The sequence below is a fragment of the Homo sapiens genome, chromosome 20, assembly GCF_000001405.40.
Source record: "Homo sapiens chromosome 20, GRCh38.p14 Primary Assembly".
NCBI classification, from domain to species: domain Eukaryota; kingdom Metazoa; phylum Chordata; class Mammalia; order Primates; family Hominidae; genus Homo; species Homo sapiens.
The window spans coordinates 31,663,141-31,677,864 of NC_000020.11; the positions used below are offsets into that span (position 1 = coordinate 31,663,141).

The 14,724-nt window shown below is 50.4% G+C and overlaps 1 protein-coding gene and 2 long non-coding RNA genes across 16 annotated transcripts in view, besides 9 other annotated features; 2 read left to right on the forward strand and 1 right to left on the reverse strand.

The window, feature by feature from the left end:
* Window positions 611-1,441: an enhancer, noted in NCBI's record as "NANOG-H3K4me1 hESC enhancer chr20:30251554-30252384 (GRCh37/hg19 assembly coordinates)". NCBI's record gives its function as "activates a minimal SCP1, AML or CMV promoter by ChIP-STARR-seq in naive H9 embryonic stem cells {active_cell/tissue: H9 hESC(naive)}" and the evidence as "EXISTENCE:reporter gene assay evidence [ECO:0000049][PMID:30033119]".
* Window positions 686-980: an enhancer, noted in NCBI's record as "tiled region #4727; K562 Activating DNase matched - State 5:Enh". NCBI's record gives its function as "activates a minimal TATA promoter and a strong SV40 promoter by Sharpr-MPRA in K562 cells {active_cell/tissue: K562}" and the evidence as "EXISTENCE:reporter gene assay evidence [ECO:0000049][PMID:27701403]".
* BCL2L1 (BCL2 like 1) overlaps window positions 1,312-14,724 on the reverse strand; it is a 59,512-nt gene continuing 46,099 nt past the window's right edge. For 10 of the 11 annotated variants that reach the window (NM_001317920.2, NM_001322239.2, NM_001317921.2 and 7 more), the window contains exon 3: window positions 1,318-2,946. In NM_001317920.2, the coding sequence (NP_001304849.1) occupies window positions 2,809-2,946 (138 nt within the window). In that variant the 3' untranslated portion in view covers window positions 1,318-2,808. Of the gene's footprint in view, window positions 2,947-3,850; window positions 4,008-14,724 lie in introns of all 11 variants that reach the window. The other variant, NR_134257.1, reaches the window with a different exon arrangement.
* Window positions 7,965-11,107, forward strand: LOC124904883 (uncharacterized). Its single transcript, XR_007067559.1, has 3 exons — window positions 7,965-8,050; window positions 8,436-8,545; window positions 11,044-11,107. It is a non-coding gene; the product is annotated as an uncharacterized LOC124904883 (long non-coding RNA).
* Window positions 10,595-13,939: an enhancer, noted in NCBI's record as "VISTA enhancer hs2050". NCBI's record gives its function as "enhancer in: blood vessels[5/5]" and the evidence as "EXISTENCE:transgenic organism evidence [ECO:0001131][PMID:17130149]".
* Window positions 11,754-11,803: an enhancer, noted in NCBI's record as "active region_17687". NCBI's record gives its function as "activates an Ori minimal core promoter by ATAC-STARR-seq in GM12878 lymphoblastoid cells {active_cell/tissue: GM12878}" and the evidence as "EXISTENCE:reporter gene assay evidence [ECO:0000049][PMID:35858748]".
* Window positions 11,824-11,873: an enhancer, noted in NCBI's record as "active region_17688". NCBI's record gives its function as "activates an Ori minimal core promoter by ATAC-STARR-seq in GM12878 lymphoblastoid cells {active_cell/tissue: GM12878}" and the evidence as "EXISTENCE:reporter gene assay evidence [ECO:0000049][PMID:35858748]".
* Window positions 11,968-14,724, forward strand: part of BCL2L1-AS1 (BCL2L1 antisense RNA 1) — a 41,737-nt gene continuing 38,980 nt past the window's right edge. For all 4 annotated transcript variants that reach the window (NR_187575.1, NR_187576.1, NR_187574.1 and 1 more), the window contains exon 1: window positions 11,968-12,075. This is a non-coding gene — a long non-coding RNA (BCL2L1 antisense RNA 1). The remainder of the gene's footprint in view (window positions 12,076-14,724) is intronic.
* Window positions 12,206-12,500: an enhancer, noted in NCBI's record as "tiled region #12412; K562 Activating DNase matched - State 5:Enh". NCBI's record gives its function as "activates a minimal TATA promoter and a strong SV40 promoter by Sharpr-MPRA in K562 cells {active_cell/tissue: K562}" and the evidence as "EXISTENCE:reporter gene assay evidence [ECO:0000049][PMID:27701403]".
* Window positions 12,471-12,570: an enhancer, noted in NCBI's record as "active region_17689". NCBI's record gives its function as "activates an Ori minimal core promoter by ATAC-STARR-seq in GM12878 lymphoblastoid cells {active_cell/tissue: GM12878}" and the evidence as "EXISTENCE:reporter gene assay evidence [ECO:0000049][PMID:35858748]".
* Window positions 12,807-12,951: an enhancer, noted in NCBI's record as "145 bp enhancer 16 fragment used in the MPRA reporter construct; PK_construct_4313". NCBI's record gives its function as "activates an SV40 promoter by MPRA in K562 cells {active_cell/tissue: K562}" and the evidence as "EXISTENCE:reporter gene assay evidence [ECO:0000049][PMID:23512712]".
* Window positions 12,871-12,888: a transcriptional cis regulatory region, noted in NCBI's record as "GATA motif; MPRA enhancer 16 activity is reduced when this motif is scrambled". NCBI's record gives its function as "necessary for full MPRA enhancer 16 activity {active_cell/tissue: K562}" and the evidence as "EXISTENCE:site-directed mutagenesis evidence [ECO:0005528][PMID:23512712]".

The window sequence follows — 14,724 nt, forward strand, 5'->3', positions numbered from 1 at the left end:
CACACACACACACACACACACATATATATATATATACACACACACACATATATATATATATATTTTTTTTTTTTGAGACGGAGTCTTGCTCTGTCGCCCAGGCTGGAGTGCAGTGGCGCGATTTCGGCTCACTGCAAGCTCCGCCTCCCGGGTTCACGCCATTCTCCTGCCTCAGCCTCCCGAGTAGCTGGGACTACAGGCGCCCACCACCACGCCCGGCTAATTTTTTTTTGTATTTTTAGTAGAGACGGGGTTTCACTGTGTTTGCCAGGATGGTCTTGATCTCCTGACCTCGTGATCCGCTAAAACACAGAAATATTACTGTAACCTTCCTCTGCTCTACTGTGTAGAAGCTGGCCACAAATTCTCGGCTGGGCATGGGGATCACTGGAGGCTAGGTGTTCGAGACCAGCCTGGGCAACATAACAAGATCCCCATCTCTACAAAAAAAAATTTGAAAATTAGCCAGGCTTGGTGGCACTCACATGTAATTTCAGCTGCTCAAGAGACTGAGGCAGGAGGATCACTTGAGCCCAGGAATTTGAAGCTGCAGTTATCTATCACACTACTGCATTCCAGCCTGGGTGACGGGGCAAGACCCTCTTAAAAAACAAATAAATACTCTGACCTATGTCTTGTCTCCTGTACAGGAGAGGAAGGAATGCTACACAGAGGCCAAGAAGAATCTGGACTGGCCTTGCTGGGTTGGCTAATTTAAAAATTTTTTTGTAGAGACAGGGTCTCACTTTGTTGCCCAGGCTGATCTTGAACTCCTGACCTTAAGCAACCCATCCCCCACCCGCAAAGTATTGAGATTACAGGGTGTGAACTGCCACTTTGTTTTTCTTTTGTTATAGGAATGTCAGTCACAGAACCTTCTGATGGGTGAGGAAAGGCATCACACCTTTCCCCCACACCCTACAGCAGCTAGAGCCGTGCTTATGTCTGTCTCTTCCACTAGAATGAATGCTTGTAAAGGCAAAGGTTTTGTTTGAAGAAGTCCCCAGTGCCCAGGACTATGTCTGTGTAGAGCAGAGCTCAGTAAACACTTGCCAAGTGGCTGTGTCTCCCACTAGAATGTCAGCTCCTGAGGGCAGAGACTGTGTCTGTCCTGTTCACATGCAGCCCCAGTGCCCAGCACACAGCATGTACCCAGTAAAACCCTGTCACCGTACAGGTGGATAAATTCAGGCCCAGAAGGAAGGAAGGACTTGTCCAAGGCCCTCCCCTGAGGGCAGCAGAGCCAGGACCAGTACCCAGCTCTCCAGCGGCCCCTCCTTTCCCCATCCCGGAGCACACAAGAGCCCAGGCTCTTTGTTCACTGAGTAAACACAGTTTATTACTGAACTGCACTTTCACCTTCACACAGACTATTTCAAAGAGCTGGAACAAGTGTGGGGTGGGGGTTGGGGGAGGGGCAGATGCCCCTCAGGAGCCAGGACCCTCGGCCAGCTTCCCTGGACCAGGGCAGGGGAGGGAGCATCAGGCCGTCCAATCTCCGGGCACCAGCTCTCCACGTGCACGCGCACTGCAAGCCAGCAGCTCCTCACACATAAATACAGACACGCTTAACAAAAATAGTATATCATCTTCACAAGGAATAAAAACTAGTCTCAAATATGTACAGCAGAGAGCCCGGGGTGGCTGGGACCCCTGGGGATGAGACAGGCCAAGGGTGGAGCAGAAGAGAGAGGGAGGCCTGAAGAGCTCCTGGCCAGGCCACTCTGGCCTTGGCAGCCTGGCTGCCCAGGCTGGACAGGCATGGGGCACAGATCTGCCTGGCCAGGCAGGACTGGCCCTTCTAGTCAGCCCTACCCCACCCCATGCAGCAGGCTCTCCTTCCTGCCCTTCCTGCCTGAGGTAGGGAAGACCCTGGGGCTCCCATAGCTGTTCCTGATAGCTCCCTTTCACCTCAGGGCTGAGTCCCCTGAACCCACCATGAGGAGCAGCCCAAGGCAAAGATGCCACAGGCTGCTCTTGTAGGAAGTGAGGCAGCTGAGGCCATAAACAGCTCTGGGGCATCTGTCTTGGGCCCAGTTGGTCCCTCAGTATGGTCATGGGAGCCAGGGAGGGGAAGGGACTAGGGTGGTGCTGAACTGCAAGGGCCACCCTAGCTTTGGCATGGGGTGCTTCCTGTAGCTATAGCCCCCTCCCTCCTGGGTGGGGCTGGCCTCTAGCCAGAGGCTTCTGGAGGACATTTGGACTGGGAGTGAGGACTCTAGCCAGTCCAGAGGTGAGGAGGGAGTCCTGGTCCTTGCATCTTTATCCCAAGCAGCCTGAATCCCTAGTCAAAAGTGGCCCCTAAATGGCTCTTAGGGGGTAGGGATGGAAGGAAAGGGAACCCAGGTTAGTGTGGGGAGAGTGGGGGGAAAATGATCAATTCTGAGGCCACAAACATCAAAACAAAGGCAATCTAGTCTCCTTTCTGGGGAAGAGGTTCTGAAAACTTTCAAGCTCCCTGGCAGAAAAACATTTTCAGGGAGGCTAAGGGGTAAGGGTTGCACCAATCAGGTAGGGCCCTCCTGCCCCCAGCCACAAACCCTTCCATACCTGCCAGCCTCCTTTGGACAGATTTTGTGGAAATTTTGTGAATTCTGAGGCCAAGGGAACTGAGGTGTGGGGGTCTCACAGAAGTGTGATAAATTCTAGAAAACTAGCTGCAAGGGACCAGATCTGGGCCCAACCCTGTGATGGGCAGGTGGGCATGGGCTGCATGTAGTGGTTCTCCTGGTGGCAATGGCGGCTGGACGGAGGATGTGGTGGAGCAGAGAAGGGGGTGGGAGGGTAGAGTGGATGGTCAGTGTCTGGTCATTTCCGACTGAAGAGTGAGCCCAGCAGAACCACGCCGGCCACAGTCATGCCCGTCAGGAACCAGCGGTTGAAGCGTTCCTGGCCCTTTCGGCTCTCGGCTGCTGCATTGTTCCCATAGAGTTCCACAAAAGTATCCTGCAGGGAGAGAGAAGGAAGGTGCAGTTTTAGTCCTCAGAGAGTGATGTAGGTGGGTGGGGAAAGGGGCCATCTGCATGCTATGGCCTTGGTGATGTGAAAAACTGTAGCCATCTGTGCCCACTCTGGGCCAGGTAAAGGGCTAAGGGTGGTCCTCTTTCTTGACCCTCCATTGGTGATAATCAAACCATGTTACTGCTGAGAAACAGGTAGAGAGGAGGAAAGTGCCCTGTCTGAGGTAAGTCAAGAAGTAGCACTTACTCCAGAATCCAAGGTGGGAACGAGATGGGCAGGGTCAGGGAACTGATGGAAGCCAGGTGGCTGGAGCAGAGTGCAGGAGAGGAGGGCATGGGGGAGATGATGGTGCAGGGGTGAGCAAGAGCCAGACCATACGTGGCCTGGAAGCCGCAAGGAGCCTAGAGTTGAGTCTGAGGGTAGTGTGGAGTGTGGAGCCACTAGGCCTCAGATTTTCTACTGCTGCACCAGAGGGAGGGATAAGGAAGCCCAGGGCTAAATCCCCAGGGTCATTTGAGGCCAATTCAGGGGTAGAATGGGTCCTGGGACTTCAGCCAGAGGCTCCTCCCTCTGGAGGGAGCCTCTGGTGGGCAGGTTGGTGACAAGAAGAGCAGGGCAGAGGAGAGAGGGTAACAATGATGCAGGACTGACAGGCCTCCATCACGGGGTCTGTGAGGCCTTGTCCCGGACATCCTCCACTGCAGGGGGTGTGACTCTGGGCCCAGGAGGTTGTGATCAACAGCCCTCTGCCCTGAATCTAAGTCAGAAGGGAAGCACATGACAGGGGGAAGGAGGAGCTGTGGGCTAAATTACCCAGCCCAGGGTGCAGCAGCCTGTGGGGCAGGGAGAAGGACGCTTAGAACATAACTTTTATGAGTAAGCGTAGTACCCAATTTGTCCTTTAATCCTCCCAACAATTCTGCAATGCAGGCTGTCTCTCCCCATTTACAGGCCAAGAAGCTGTGCCTCTGAGGGTCCAGGGACTGGATCAAGGTCACCCAGCTGTGTCAGTGGTGGAGCCAGAATCTAAAACTGGCATCTGGCACCTAGAAATATGTAAGAAAGAAGTAAGTTCCAGGCTGGGTGCGGTGGCTCATGCCTATAATCCCAGCACTTTGGGAGGCTGAGGTGGGTGGATTGCCTGAGGTCAGGAGTTCGAGACCAGCCTGGCCAACATGGTGAAACCCTGTCTCTACTAAAAATACAAAAATTAGCCGGGTGTGGTGGCACGCACCTGTAATCCCAGTTACTCAGGAGGCTGAGGCACGAGAATTGTTTGAACCCGGGAGACGGAGGTTGCAGTGAGCAGAAATCGCACCACAGCACTCCAGTCTGGGTGACAGAGACTCCGTTCAAAAAAAAAAAAGGAAGTACCATAGTACCGTGTGTGTGTGTGTGTGTGTGTGTGTGTGTAAAATGAATGAGTTACTGGCTGGTTCTTGCCTCTCTACCAAGACCTCTGCCACACTGGGCCTACATTTCCAACCAGTCCCAAATGGCCGAGTGGCTGCTCCCTCAAGACAGGCATGCCATCTCCAGTTGGCCTCAGGTCTCACCTATCAATTTGCTCACTTGTGACCCCTGCCGTGGCCCACTTCCAGTCTTGACAACCCCCTCAGTCCATGCTCCACACAGAGCTTTCTAAGAACACTGGAAGCCCTCCAGCAGCATTCTCCTGCACTTAGAAGGGCAGCATCATTTATTTTTGTATCCCTGGTACCTAGCAAAATGCCATGTGCACTGAGCTGCTAATTTGACTGAAGGAATCCTCAACATTAAGGCAGTAGAGAGCAGTGACCCATGAATCTCAGCCCTTGCAGAAGCACACTCCATTCAGTCACTCCAAGTTCTCAACCTTCCCAGGGCTTCCATCACACCTGAAATAAAGTCCCCACTCCTTACTCTGGCCAGCAAGGTCTAGTGGGATCTGGCTCCAACACTTTCTGGCCTCCTCCCCACCCCTGTCCCCTGAACTTCACTCCAGTCCCACTGGCCTCCTTGCTGTTCCTCCAACGTCTCCTGCCGCAGGAGTCTGCTGTTCCTGCTTGCCTGGAGCACCTGACCCCAGGTCGTCGCCTGCCTCACTCCCTCATTTCACAACCATGACTCCCCTCAAATGTCACCTCCTAGGGGAGGCCTTCCCTGACTGCCTTGTCTAAAACAGTACACCACCCCCGTCTCTCTCTGCCTGTCCCCTTACCTTCCTTGATTTTTCTTCTCAGTTTTTTTTTTTTTTGAGACACAGTTTTATTCTGTCCCCCAGGCTGGAGTGCAGTGGCACAAACTGGGCTCACAGCAACCTTTGCTTCCTGGGTACAAGCGATTCTCCTGAGTAGCTGGGATTACAGACATGTGCCACCATGCCCAGCTAATTTTTATATTTTTAGTAGAGATAAGGTTTTGCCATATTGGCCAGGCTGGTCTCAAACTCCTGACCTCAAGTGATCCGCCCACGGCCTCCCAAAGTGCTGGGATTACAGGCACGAGCCACCATATCTGGCCTTTTTTTTTTTTTTTTTGGAGACAGAGTTTTACCCTTGTTGCCCAGGCTGGAGTACAATGGCGCGATCTCAGCTCACTGCAACCTCCGCCTCCCAGGTTCAAGCGATTCTCCTGCCTCAGCCTCCCAAGTAGCTGGGATTACAGGCGCGTGCCACCACACCTGGCTAATTTTGTATTTTTAGTAGAGACGGGGTTTCTCCACGTTGGGTCAGGCTGGTTTCAAACTCCTGACCTCAGGTGATCTGCTCACCTCGGCCTCCCAAAGTGCTGGGATTACAGGCATGAGCCACCATGCCCAGCCACCATTTTTTTTTTCTTGTTTTTAAAAGATGTGCCCAGACTGACTTTGAACTCCTGGACTCAAGCAATCTTCCTGCCTCAGCCTCCTGATTACAGGAACTACACTACACAGAATGACCACCATGCCAGCTTTTCTTCTCAGTGCTTTATTTTTTAATTTTTAAATTTTTGTGACAGTGTCTCACTCTGTTACTCAGGTTAGACTGTAGTGGCGCAATCATGGCTCACTGCAGCCTTGACCTCCTGGGCTCAGATGATCCTCCTGCCCCAGCCTCCTGAGTAGCTGCCACACTACAGGCACACACCACCATGCCTGGCTAATATTTCTAAATTTTTTGTAGAGACAGGGTCTCACTTTGTTGCCTAGGCTGGTCTCAAACTCCTGGGCTCAAGGGATCCTTCTGCCTCAGCCTCCCAAGTGCTGAGATTACAGGCGTGAGCCACCATGCCCGGCCTCACCACCTCACCACATTTTTCCCCCATTAAGCTGTACTTCTCATAACTAGATTCTGTACTTTGTTTTTGTTGTGATGTGTCTTCCATACTAGATGTGTCTTTTTTTTTTTTTAGACGAAGACTTGCTCTGTCACCTAGGCTGGAGTGCAGTGGTGCAATCTTGGCTCACTGCAACCTCCGCCTCCCGGGTTCAAGCCATTCTCCTGCCTCAGCCCCCCGAGTAGCGCCTGCCACCACGCCTAGCTAATTTTTGTATTTTTAGTAGAGATGGGGTTTCACCATGTTAACCAGGCTGGTCTCAAACTCCTGACCTCAAGTGATCTGCCCTCTTCAGCCCCAAAGTGCTGGGATTATAGGCGTGAGCCACTGCCCTCGGCCTATACTAGATGTGTCTTGATGAGGGCAGAGGTCCTGTCTCGTTCCTATACACCCAGTGCTCAGAACAGTGTCTTGCTCTGTAAATACATGAGAATACATGAGTTAACAAATGTATTGCATGTCTACTACATGTCAGGCATTGGTATCCCATTTCATCTTCATCAGAATCCTGAGATGTAGATTTGAGCCACATTTCACAAATAAGATGCCTGATATTTAAAGCAGGGAACACTCAGCAAACAGATAGCAGAGTCGGGATCAAACTGCAAGACTGCCTAGCTTCAAAGGGAGGGCTGCTATGTCAGGACACTTCCCTGAAGTTGGAGGCTGGAGGGACCTGTCCTGTCAGTAGTGCTGAAAGGATGGATTTCCAGGAGAAGGAATGTGGGAGCAGGGTTGAGGTGGAGGATCTGGGGAAAGGAGGGCACTAGGGCCGTGGCTATGCTTCCCTGTCTCCCTCTCCATCCTAGCTAGCCTCTGCGGGTCTTGGCAGACAAAAATATTCTTACAGGAGGTTTGATTTTGTTGCTCCCAAGTACACCCAGGTGGAGTCACAAAATAGGCTTATCTGTGATGGGGGAGAGTTCCACACTATGAAGAGCATAGGAGAAGGCCCTGGTTATCCCAAGAGGCCAAATGTCTCTCAAGAAACCAGGGACACTGGGGTTGCAGCCAAAATGGGAGAGGCCTGGCTCCCTTGATGGGAACTTTCCTGAAGTAGACGGCTGGCAGCCACAGGAAATTTTCAGCTCTGGGGCTGGGTTGGAGTAAACAGGCGCTGTCCCCACAAGGGCACAAAGCATTCACTGTCCAGAAACAGTCATTCCTGGGTGGAGGGAACATTCTCATTTCAGTGCCATAGAAACATTCTCATTTCACCTGCCCCAGCTTCCACTCATGTGTTCCTGGTCATGACAACCTTCATTTCCATTTCAGCTTCTTTTCCTGGGGAAGGGGAGTAGTATTTCCAAGGGGTGTGGATTCTAAGGATTGCTTTTGCGGAGACAGCATGAGCAAAATGGGGCGTGCTGTTCCAGGGCGGGTGCTGGAGAGGCGGTGGCGTGGGTATATTTAGCCCATGGTTCACACGACACACTTGGAAATAAACAGAGCCATTTTCTCAGCAGGCGGCTGCTCTGGATAAATAAACAGGATTGCAGAGCAGCCCTGGTCTGGAAAAGCAGAGATAAGCCCCTACTGCACCTTGGGTGGCTCCCACTGGTTTTAACCAGGCTGGCATGGTAGGCAGGGGATGAGGTTTAAGAGTGGGTTGTAGGGAGGTCTCTGATGTCACAAAGGTTTCTAGGAGACCCAGGCCCAAGGGCCTGTCTGCATCCTCTGCTTGAGTTAAGAGGAAAGTGGGGTAGCTGACTTCCATGTGGGGGTTTGTAGGGCCACTGGCGACAGGCAATGGCTAATGACCTCCACAGGAGAGTCATGGATTCCTAGCCAGGTAGGCCCATGAAGTCAGCAAGGCCAACCCACCTGCCCATTCTACGTTTCCACTGCTGGTTTGTAGTAGAGCCTACACTAGAAAACTGGGTCTCCTGACTTGGCCCCTAGGAGATGCCCAGGCTAGTATCACTTTCAAGGTCCTTCTTCCAATACTTCAAGAGGCTTCAACAGTCCTGGCCACCCACTTGGAATGGCCCCACACTACATACTCCTGAGTGCTTCAGGCCCTGGTGCCTTTGCCAACACTGTCCTTTAACTGGTCACTCCATATCTTCCTCAGTTAACCAACCCCTACTAAGCCTATAGGACTCCATTTTGGAGTCCCCTCTTCCCTGCTCATCCCTCCCCAACCTCTGGGATGAATGTCTCCTTTCTGTTCCCAGACTCCTTGGACTTCTGTTTATACCAGGGGTATGCACTGAGGCTGGCATTGGAGACTCAGCCGTGAGCAAGGCTTCCATGGAGCTTATGTTCTAGTCCATTCTCAATGGTGGTAAGATCACCTCCAATGGCGTGAAGTGAAGCATTCTTAGACATTACAGTGATTTGTGGCTCTCCACAGGGCCACAGCACATAAGGAGATATAGAGTATATAGTATATATAGTATATAGGTATTGCCCTCCCATGAAATTTGAATACCTCAGCTATACTATACTATATATACCATATATATACACACAATATGTAGTATATATAGTACTGTATATACTATATATATACTTTACATATACTATATATTATATATTATACATATCTATATCTATATATACTATATATAGTATAGTATAGCTGAGGTATTCAAATTTCATGGGAGGGCAATTAGGACAAAAAAATCTGAAAAAGACTCCTTGCAGGGGTGGATGATAAAAAAAAAAGGTTGAGAAACCCTGTCTTACTGGGAAGCAGAGAGGATAACAAGAAAAAAAAAAGATAATTTTAGAGATGATAGGGTTTTAAGTCCTGGGGAGGTGACAGAGAATATCTGGGGGAGCCGGGCACAATGACTCATACCTGTAATCCCAGCACTTTGGGAGGCCGAGGCAGGCAGATCACCTGAGGTCAGGAGTTCAAGACCAGCCTGACCAACATGGTGAAACCCTGTCTCTACCAAAAATACAAAATTAGCTGGGTGTGGTGGCAGGCATCTGTAATCCCAGCTACCTGGGAGGCTGAGGCAGGAGGACTGCTTGAACCCAGGAGATGGAGGTTGCAGTGAGCCAAGATCACATTATTGTACTCCAGTCTGGGCAACAAGAGCAAAACCCTGTCTCAAAAAAAAAAAAAAGCCTGTTTTAGCAGAGGTAATAAGTGCAAAGGCCCTGAGGTGGGAGGGAGAGGAGGGGTGTTCCTGGGTTGATGGCCTCTGTGTGCCTGGTTTCCCCCAACAGTCTGGGGGCTCAGTGCAGGCAGGGACCAAGTCTGGCCCAGGACCTACTCAGACAGGCACAGACTGACTTCAGCTAGATCTCTGCCCAGAGGCAGCCAACTGAACGATGCAGGTCACCTTGTAGGTGCCTGTGACCCTGTAGAAGTCAGGTGAAAAGGTTGGCATGATGCCCTGAGGAAAGGGGCCCAAGTGCCAGAGGACCAGCCAGAGGCTGAAGTATAGTCCCTACTTGAATCTGATCTTTTAGTTCCCATCCTGGCTTCACTGCCCACATTTCCTTCTTTTTTTTTTTCTTGTAAATTTTTGGAGAGATGGAGTCTCACTACATTGCCCAGGGTGGTTTCAAACTCCTGGCCTCATCCTCCTACCTTGGTCTTCCAAAGTACTGGGATTATAGGCATGAGCAACTGTGCCCACCCTTCCCACTTCTTCCAAGTAGTGTGACTTTGAGCAGGTTACTTCACCTCTCTGGTCCATGGTGTCCTTGCTTTTTTTTTTTTTTTTTTTTTGAGATAGCCTCTCACTCTGTTGCCCAGGCTGGAGTGCAGTGGCATGATCTTGGCTCACTGCAACCTCAGCCTCCCAGGTTCAAGCAATTCTTCTGCCTTAGTCTCCCAAGTTGCCTGGGATTACAGGCACCCGCCACCACACCTGGCTAATTTTTTGTAATTTTAGTAGAGGTGGGGTTCCACTATGTTGGCCAGGCTGGTCTGGAACTCCTGACCTCAGGTGATCCACCTTCCTTGGCCTCCCAAAGTGCTAGGATTAAAGACATGAGCCACCGCACCCAGCCCTTACTTGTTAACAGTAATAAAATACTTTAGGAGCTGAGGCAGGAGGATTGCTTGAGCCCAGGAGTCTGAGACCAGCCTGGGCAACACAGGAGGACCCTGTCTCTACAAAAAAATTAAAAAAAAAAAAAAAATTAGCTGGGTGTGGTGGTATGCATCTATGGTCTCAGCAACTCAGGATGCTGAGGAGGATCTTTGAGCCTGGGAGGTCAGGGCTGCATTGAATCATGTTTGGGGCCACTGTACTCCAGCCTGGGCAACAGAGTGAGACCCTGTCTCAAAAAAACAAAAGATAAAAGCAAAGAAACAAAAAACTATTATTATGACAGCTGACCATTACCAAACATTTCAGTGTTTCACCTGTGCTGGGCACTGAGCTATAAAGCAGTCTATGCACACTAGGCCATATTTCCCAATTACATGTACAATCATCATATTCACTTGAGAGATTATTTTTTGTCCTGTCTCCCCCACTTGACTGTGTGTGGCTCTGTCACCTGTATCTCTAGAACCTGGTGTGCTATACTTGGAACACAGCAGATGCCATTCTAAATAAATCTATTTTAGAAGAACAAATGAATGCTTTCATTTGATCCTCATAACATTTATCAATAGCCCCATTTTACATATGTGAAAATGGAGGCTCCAGAATTTACCCAAGATCCCTATCTAGGAAGTGGCAAGAGTAGGATCTGTCTGAGTTCTGGCCTCACACCATTCTTTTTCTTTTAATCTATCCAAGATAGTACTTCATTCACACTCATTCTGATGTCCAATCTTGCCATCTTAGACCCTGCTATCTCTACCCACAGAAAACCTGACTTCCTTAGTGACTTCAGCAGCAGCGCACACTTCCTGAGCACATACTCTGTAAGGTACTCTTCTTGGTTTTTTTGTAGATTAGTTCATTAGTTGTCTCTACACTCTGTCAGTGGGTACTACCATTAACCCATATAGCTGATGGATATGTGGCCCACAGATGATCTGTGAATTGCTCAAGGCCATGTAGTGAGCTGGTGACCTAACTGGGATGCCTACACCAGCAATCTGGTTCAGTGCCTTTACTCCTAACGTTGATGCAGTACTCTGCTCAGTTTCTAAAGGACAATCATGGGCCAGGTCCATGTACTTCTGTGGCTGAGGAAGGCCTTCATTCTAAGTCCAGGTAACCTGAGGCTCAGAGATACTGAGACCTAGCTAAAGTGGATAAGTGGCAGCTAGCTGTGATGGCTCACACCTGTAATCCCAGCATCTTTGAGAGTTCAAGGTGGGCAGACTGTTTGAGCTCAGGAGTTCGAGACCAGCCAGGGCAATATGGTGGGACCCCCATCTCTATAAGAAAAATCTTAGAAATTTAGCTGAGTGTGTTGGCATGCACCTATAGTCCCAGCTACTCAGGAGACTGAAGTGGGAGAATTGCTTGAGGCTGGGAGGTTGAAACTGCAGTGAGCTGTGACAGCACCACTGCACTCCAGCCAGGGCGACAGAATGAGACCCCGTCTCAAAAAAAAAAAAAAAAAAAGGGAAGCCATTTTTAAGCCCCAGTATGTTTGGCAGCAAACCCCATATTCTGAGCCAGGGCCATGGCCCTGGGTCTGTCAAGGAGGGTAAAGTAGCCTGAGGCCATCAGCTGAATGAATAAGCACTGGCTCCTGCCAGCTGAGGGGAACTGGTGCCACAGGAAAAGGATGTGACGAAGACCAGGAGGGAAAGTGAAACCCTTCCGTCCTGGCTTCAGTGAGGAACAAGCATGCCTGTGCCAGACGAACCCTTCCTTCCTCTTGGGTGACTCTGGAGGGCCCAGGCCCATTGCTTCCTTCCTGCTTGGTTATTTCAGGAAAGAGGTAGGTGGAGAAGAGGAAGAGGCTACTAGCAGCCAGGAAAAGTGCCAGGGACACCAGAACTGTACCTTGTTCTGTCCTTCTCACATCCCTGCATTGGCAGGCTGTGAGTCACCTGCAGAGTCACCTTATGCTCCTGGCCTCAGTTTCCCTGAGGGAGAGGCTGATAAATGTGTGCTGAATAGACAAACATGGCCTTGCTAGAAGATCGCTGGGAGATGGTAGGAAGGGGGTAGGGCAAACGGAGAGGCCTTATCACTCTTTTGGCAGGGAGTTGCAGGCGGAGACTCGGAAGAAGTGAGGTTTGTGGTTGGAATCCACTTCCTCTGGTTTTCCCAGGGGAGCTGTTGGCTCCCGAGATGTGAGAAGAACATGGCCTTTCTCCTCTCCCCCACGGAAACATAGGCCTGGAGGTGGGCAACTTGGAGAAGCAGCTCAGTGGAGGCAGGGCAAAGAGAGGGGTGGCAAGACTGTGTTGGGGTCAACACCTCAGTCCAGCCGGCCCAGGTATGGGTGGGTGCCACAGCAAGCCTTTTGGCTTCTGAGCCTCAGTTTCTCCTGCCTTGACCTCCCTAGCAGTAGTGGTGAGATCAGGGGGTGTCATAGAGGGCTCAAGCCATCTGGGCTATAGGGAATATTTGGTGGTATCCTCACAACAAACTTCATGTTTATCTTCCTCCAACTCTGACCTGTTCAATTCAGCTGCCAGCCTCTCCTCCTCCACCTCCTCCCCCACCATTAGTTCTAAGAAGCTGTGCCTGACAGATGCACTTGCATTTCTCAGAAAAGGAAGCGGTTGTGCCGGGAGGAGATAACACCTCCGCTGGGGAATCGAGAAAGCTATCAGGCCTAGCAGTGCGAGTGTGGGCTCTCCATCTCTCTGGCTCAGAACCAGGGTGATGGGCTTGGGGGCAAAGAGAGAGAATTCAGAAAAGCATTTACTGGGGGCAGAGATGCTCATTTGGGGGCTCATAACCTCCTTCCCTGGAACCGATGGAGATAAAACAGCTGATGTTTACTAAGTACCAGGCATGGTGCTAAGTGCTTCGTGTGTAAAGAATTTGCTTAATCCTCACAATAATCCCACCGAGTACATGCTGTTATTACTCTCCAGCTTACAGATGAGGAAACAGAGGCAGAGAGGATAAATCACCCTCCCAAGGTCACAGAGGCCACAAGTGGTAGAGTTGGGATTTGAATACAGGCAGTCTGTCTCCAGAGTCCAAACATTTAACTGTTCCTGGGTGGCTGCTATGTGCTCATATAGGCTCATCCCCTGGGATTCCGATGCCTCCCGTCATCTCAACTCTCTCATTTCAACCCTGGTGACTCCCTATTCTTTCGTAAGTAGATGGCCACAGCCCTCCATTCTTCTCCCAGTGTCCAGGGTGAGAAAAACCAATACTCACCCTTGGAACAGAGTCGGAGACTCCAGGGACCTTACAGCATGCCCATCCAACCTTCCATGTAATACTCAAGCTCACCACGAACACCCCCATTTCACAGACAGGGTTCAGAAGGGTGGAGTGCTGAAGTCCCACAGTGGGTCTGTTTCATTCTGATGGTCCACACCCATGGGAGTTGGTAGTCATCTCGAGGGCATTCTCTCCTTATGCACTTATGGAGAGCTCCCTCCTTCCTGGGTGGGACATTTCATCTTCGGACAGCCCCGTTGGAAAACTCTTCCCTGTCAGGGAGCTGATGCTCGTCTCCCTCTGTCTCCCTTGACTGGCTGGTCTTAGTTCTGCTCTCTCTCCGCTGCTGCTCTCCTGCTCTCCTCCAAGTATCAGTTGTCTCATTTGTGAAATGGAAGTGCTATCTGGATAAAGGCAATTAATTTCTACTTCTCTACCAAGCTGGGCTGCCAGAGCACAGAGCAGGCAGAGAACCAATAAGTCTTGCAAACTAGATTAAGATATTTTGCTTTTGACCTCATCTGTAAAATGCGGATTAAAAAAATCCTTATTTAATTTTTTTTTTTTTTTTTGAGACAGAGTCTCACTCTGTCGCCCAGGCTGGAGTGCAGTGGCACAATCTTGGCTCACTGCAACCTCTGCCTCCCACGTTCAAGTGATTCTTCTGCCTCAGCCTCCCAAGTAATTGGGACTACAGGCATGCACCACCATGCCTGGCTAATTTTTTTGTATTTTTAGTAGAGACTGGATTTCACCATGTTGGTCAGGCTGGTCTCAAACTCCTGACCTCAAATGATCCACCCACCTCGGCCCCCCAAAGTGCTGAGATTACAGGCGTCAGCCACTGCATCTGGCCCAAAATGTCCTTATTTCAAAAGAATACCATGAGGATTCAAATTAATACATGTAAAGGTCTTAGAATTGTGCATGGCACATAGTTAACTTTGAGTAAATGTCTGGTTTATTGTTCTTACTAGTAGACCATGGCTCAGCTTGTGTCTCGGAGCCTTCTCTATGGCTTACAAGGGCCTGCAGGGTTTTCTCAGCTTCACCTAGGGCCAGGCTGCTTCATTCCTCACATGCCATGTTCTGTTCAGACTCAGGACCTTTGCCCACACTGGTGCTTCTACCAAGCTCTGTCCCACTTATCTCTGAGGTCTTAATCCACAGGTCACTTTCTCAAGGAGCCTAGCTGCTCACTTCTTCCCCCATCTGACCATGGGCTCTGTCCCCTAGG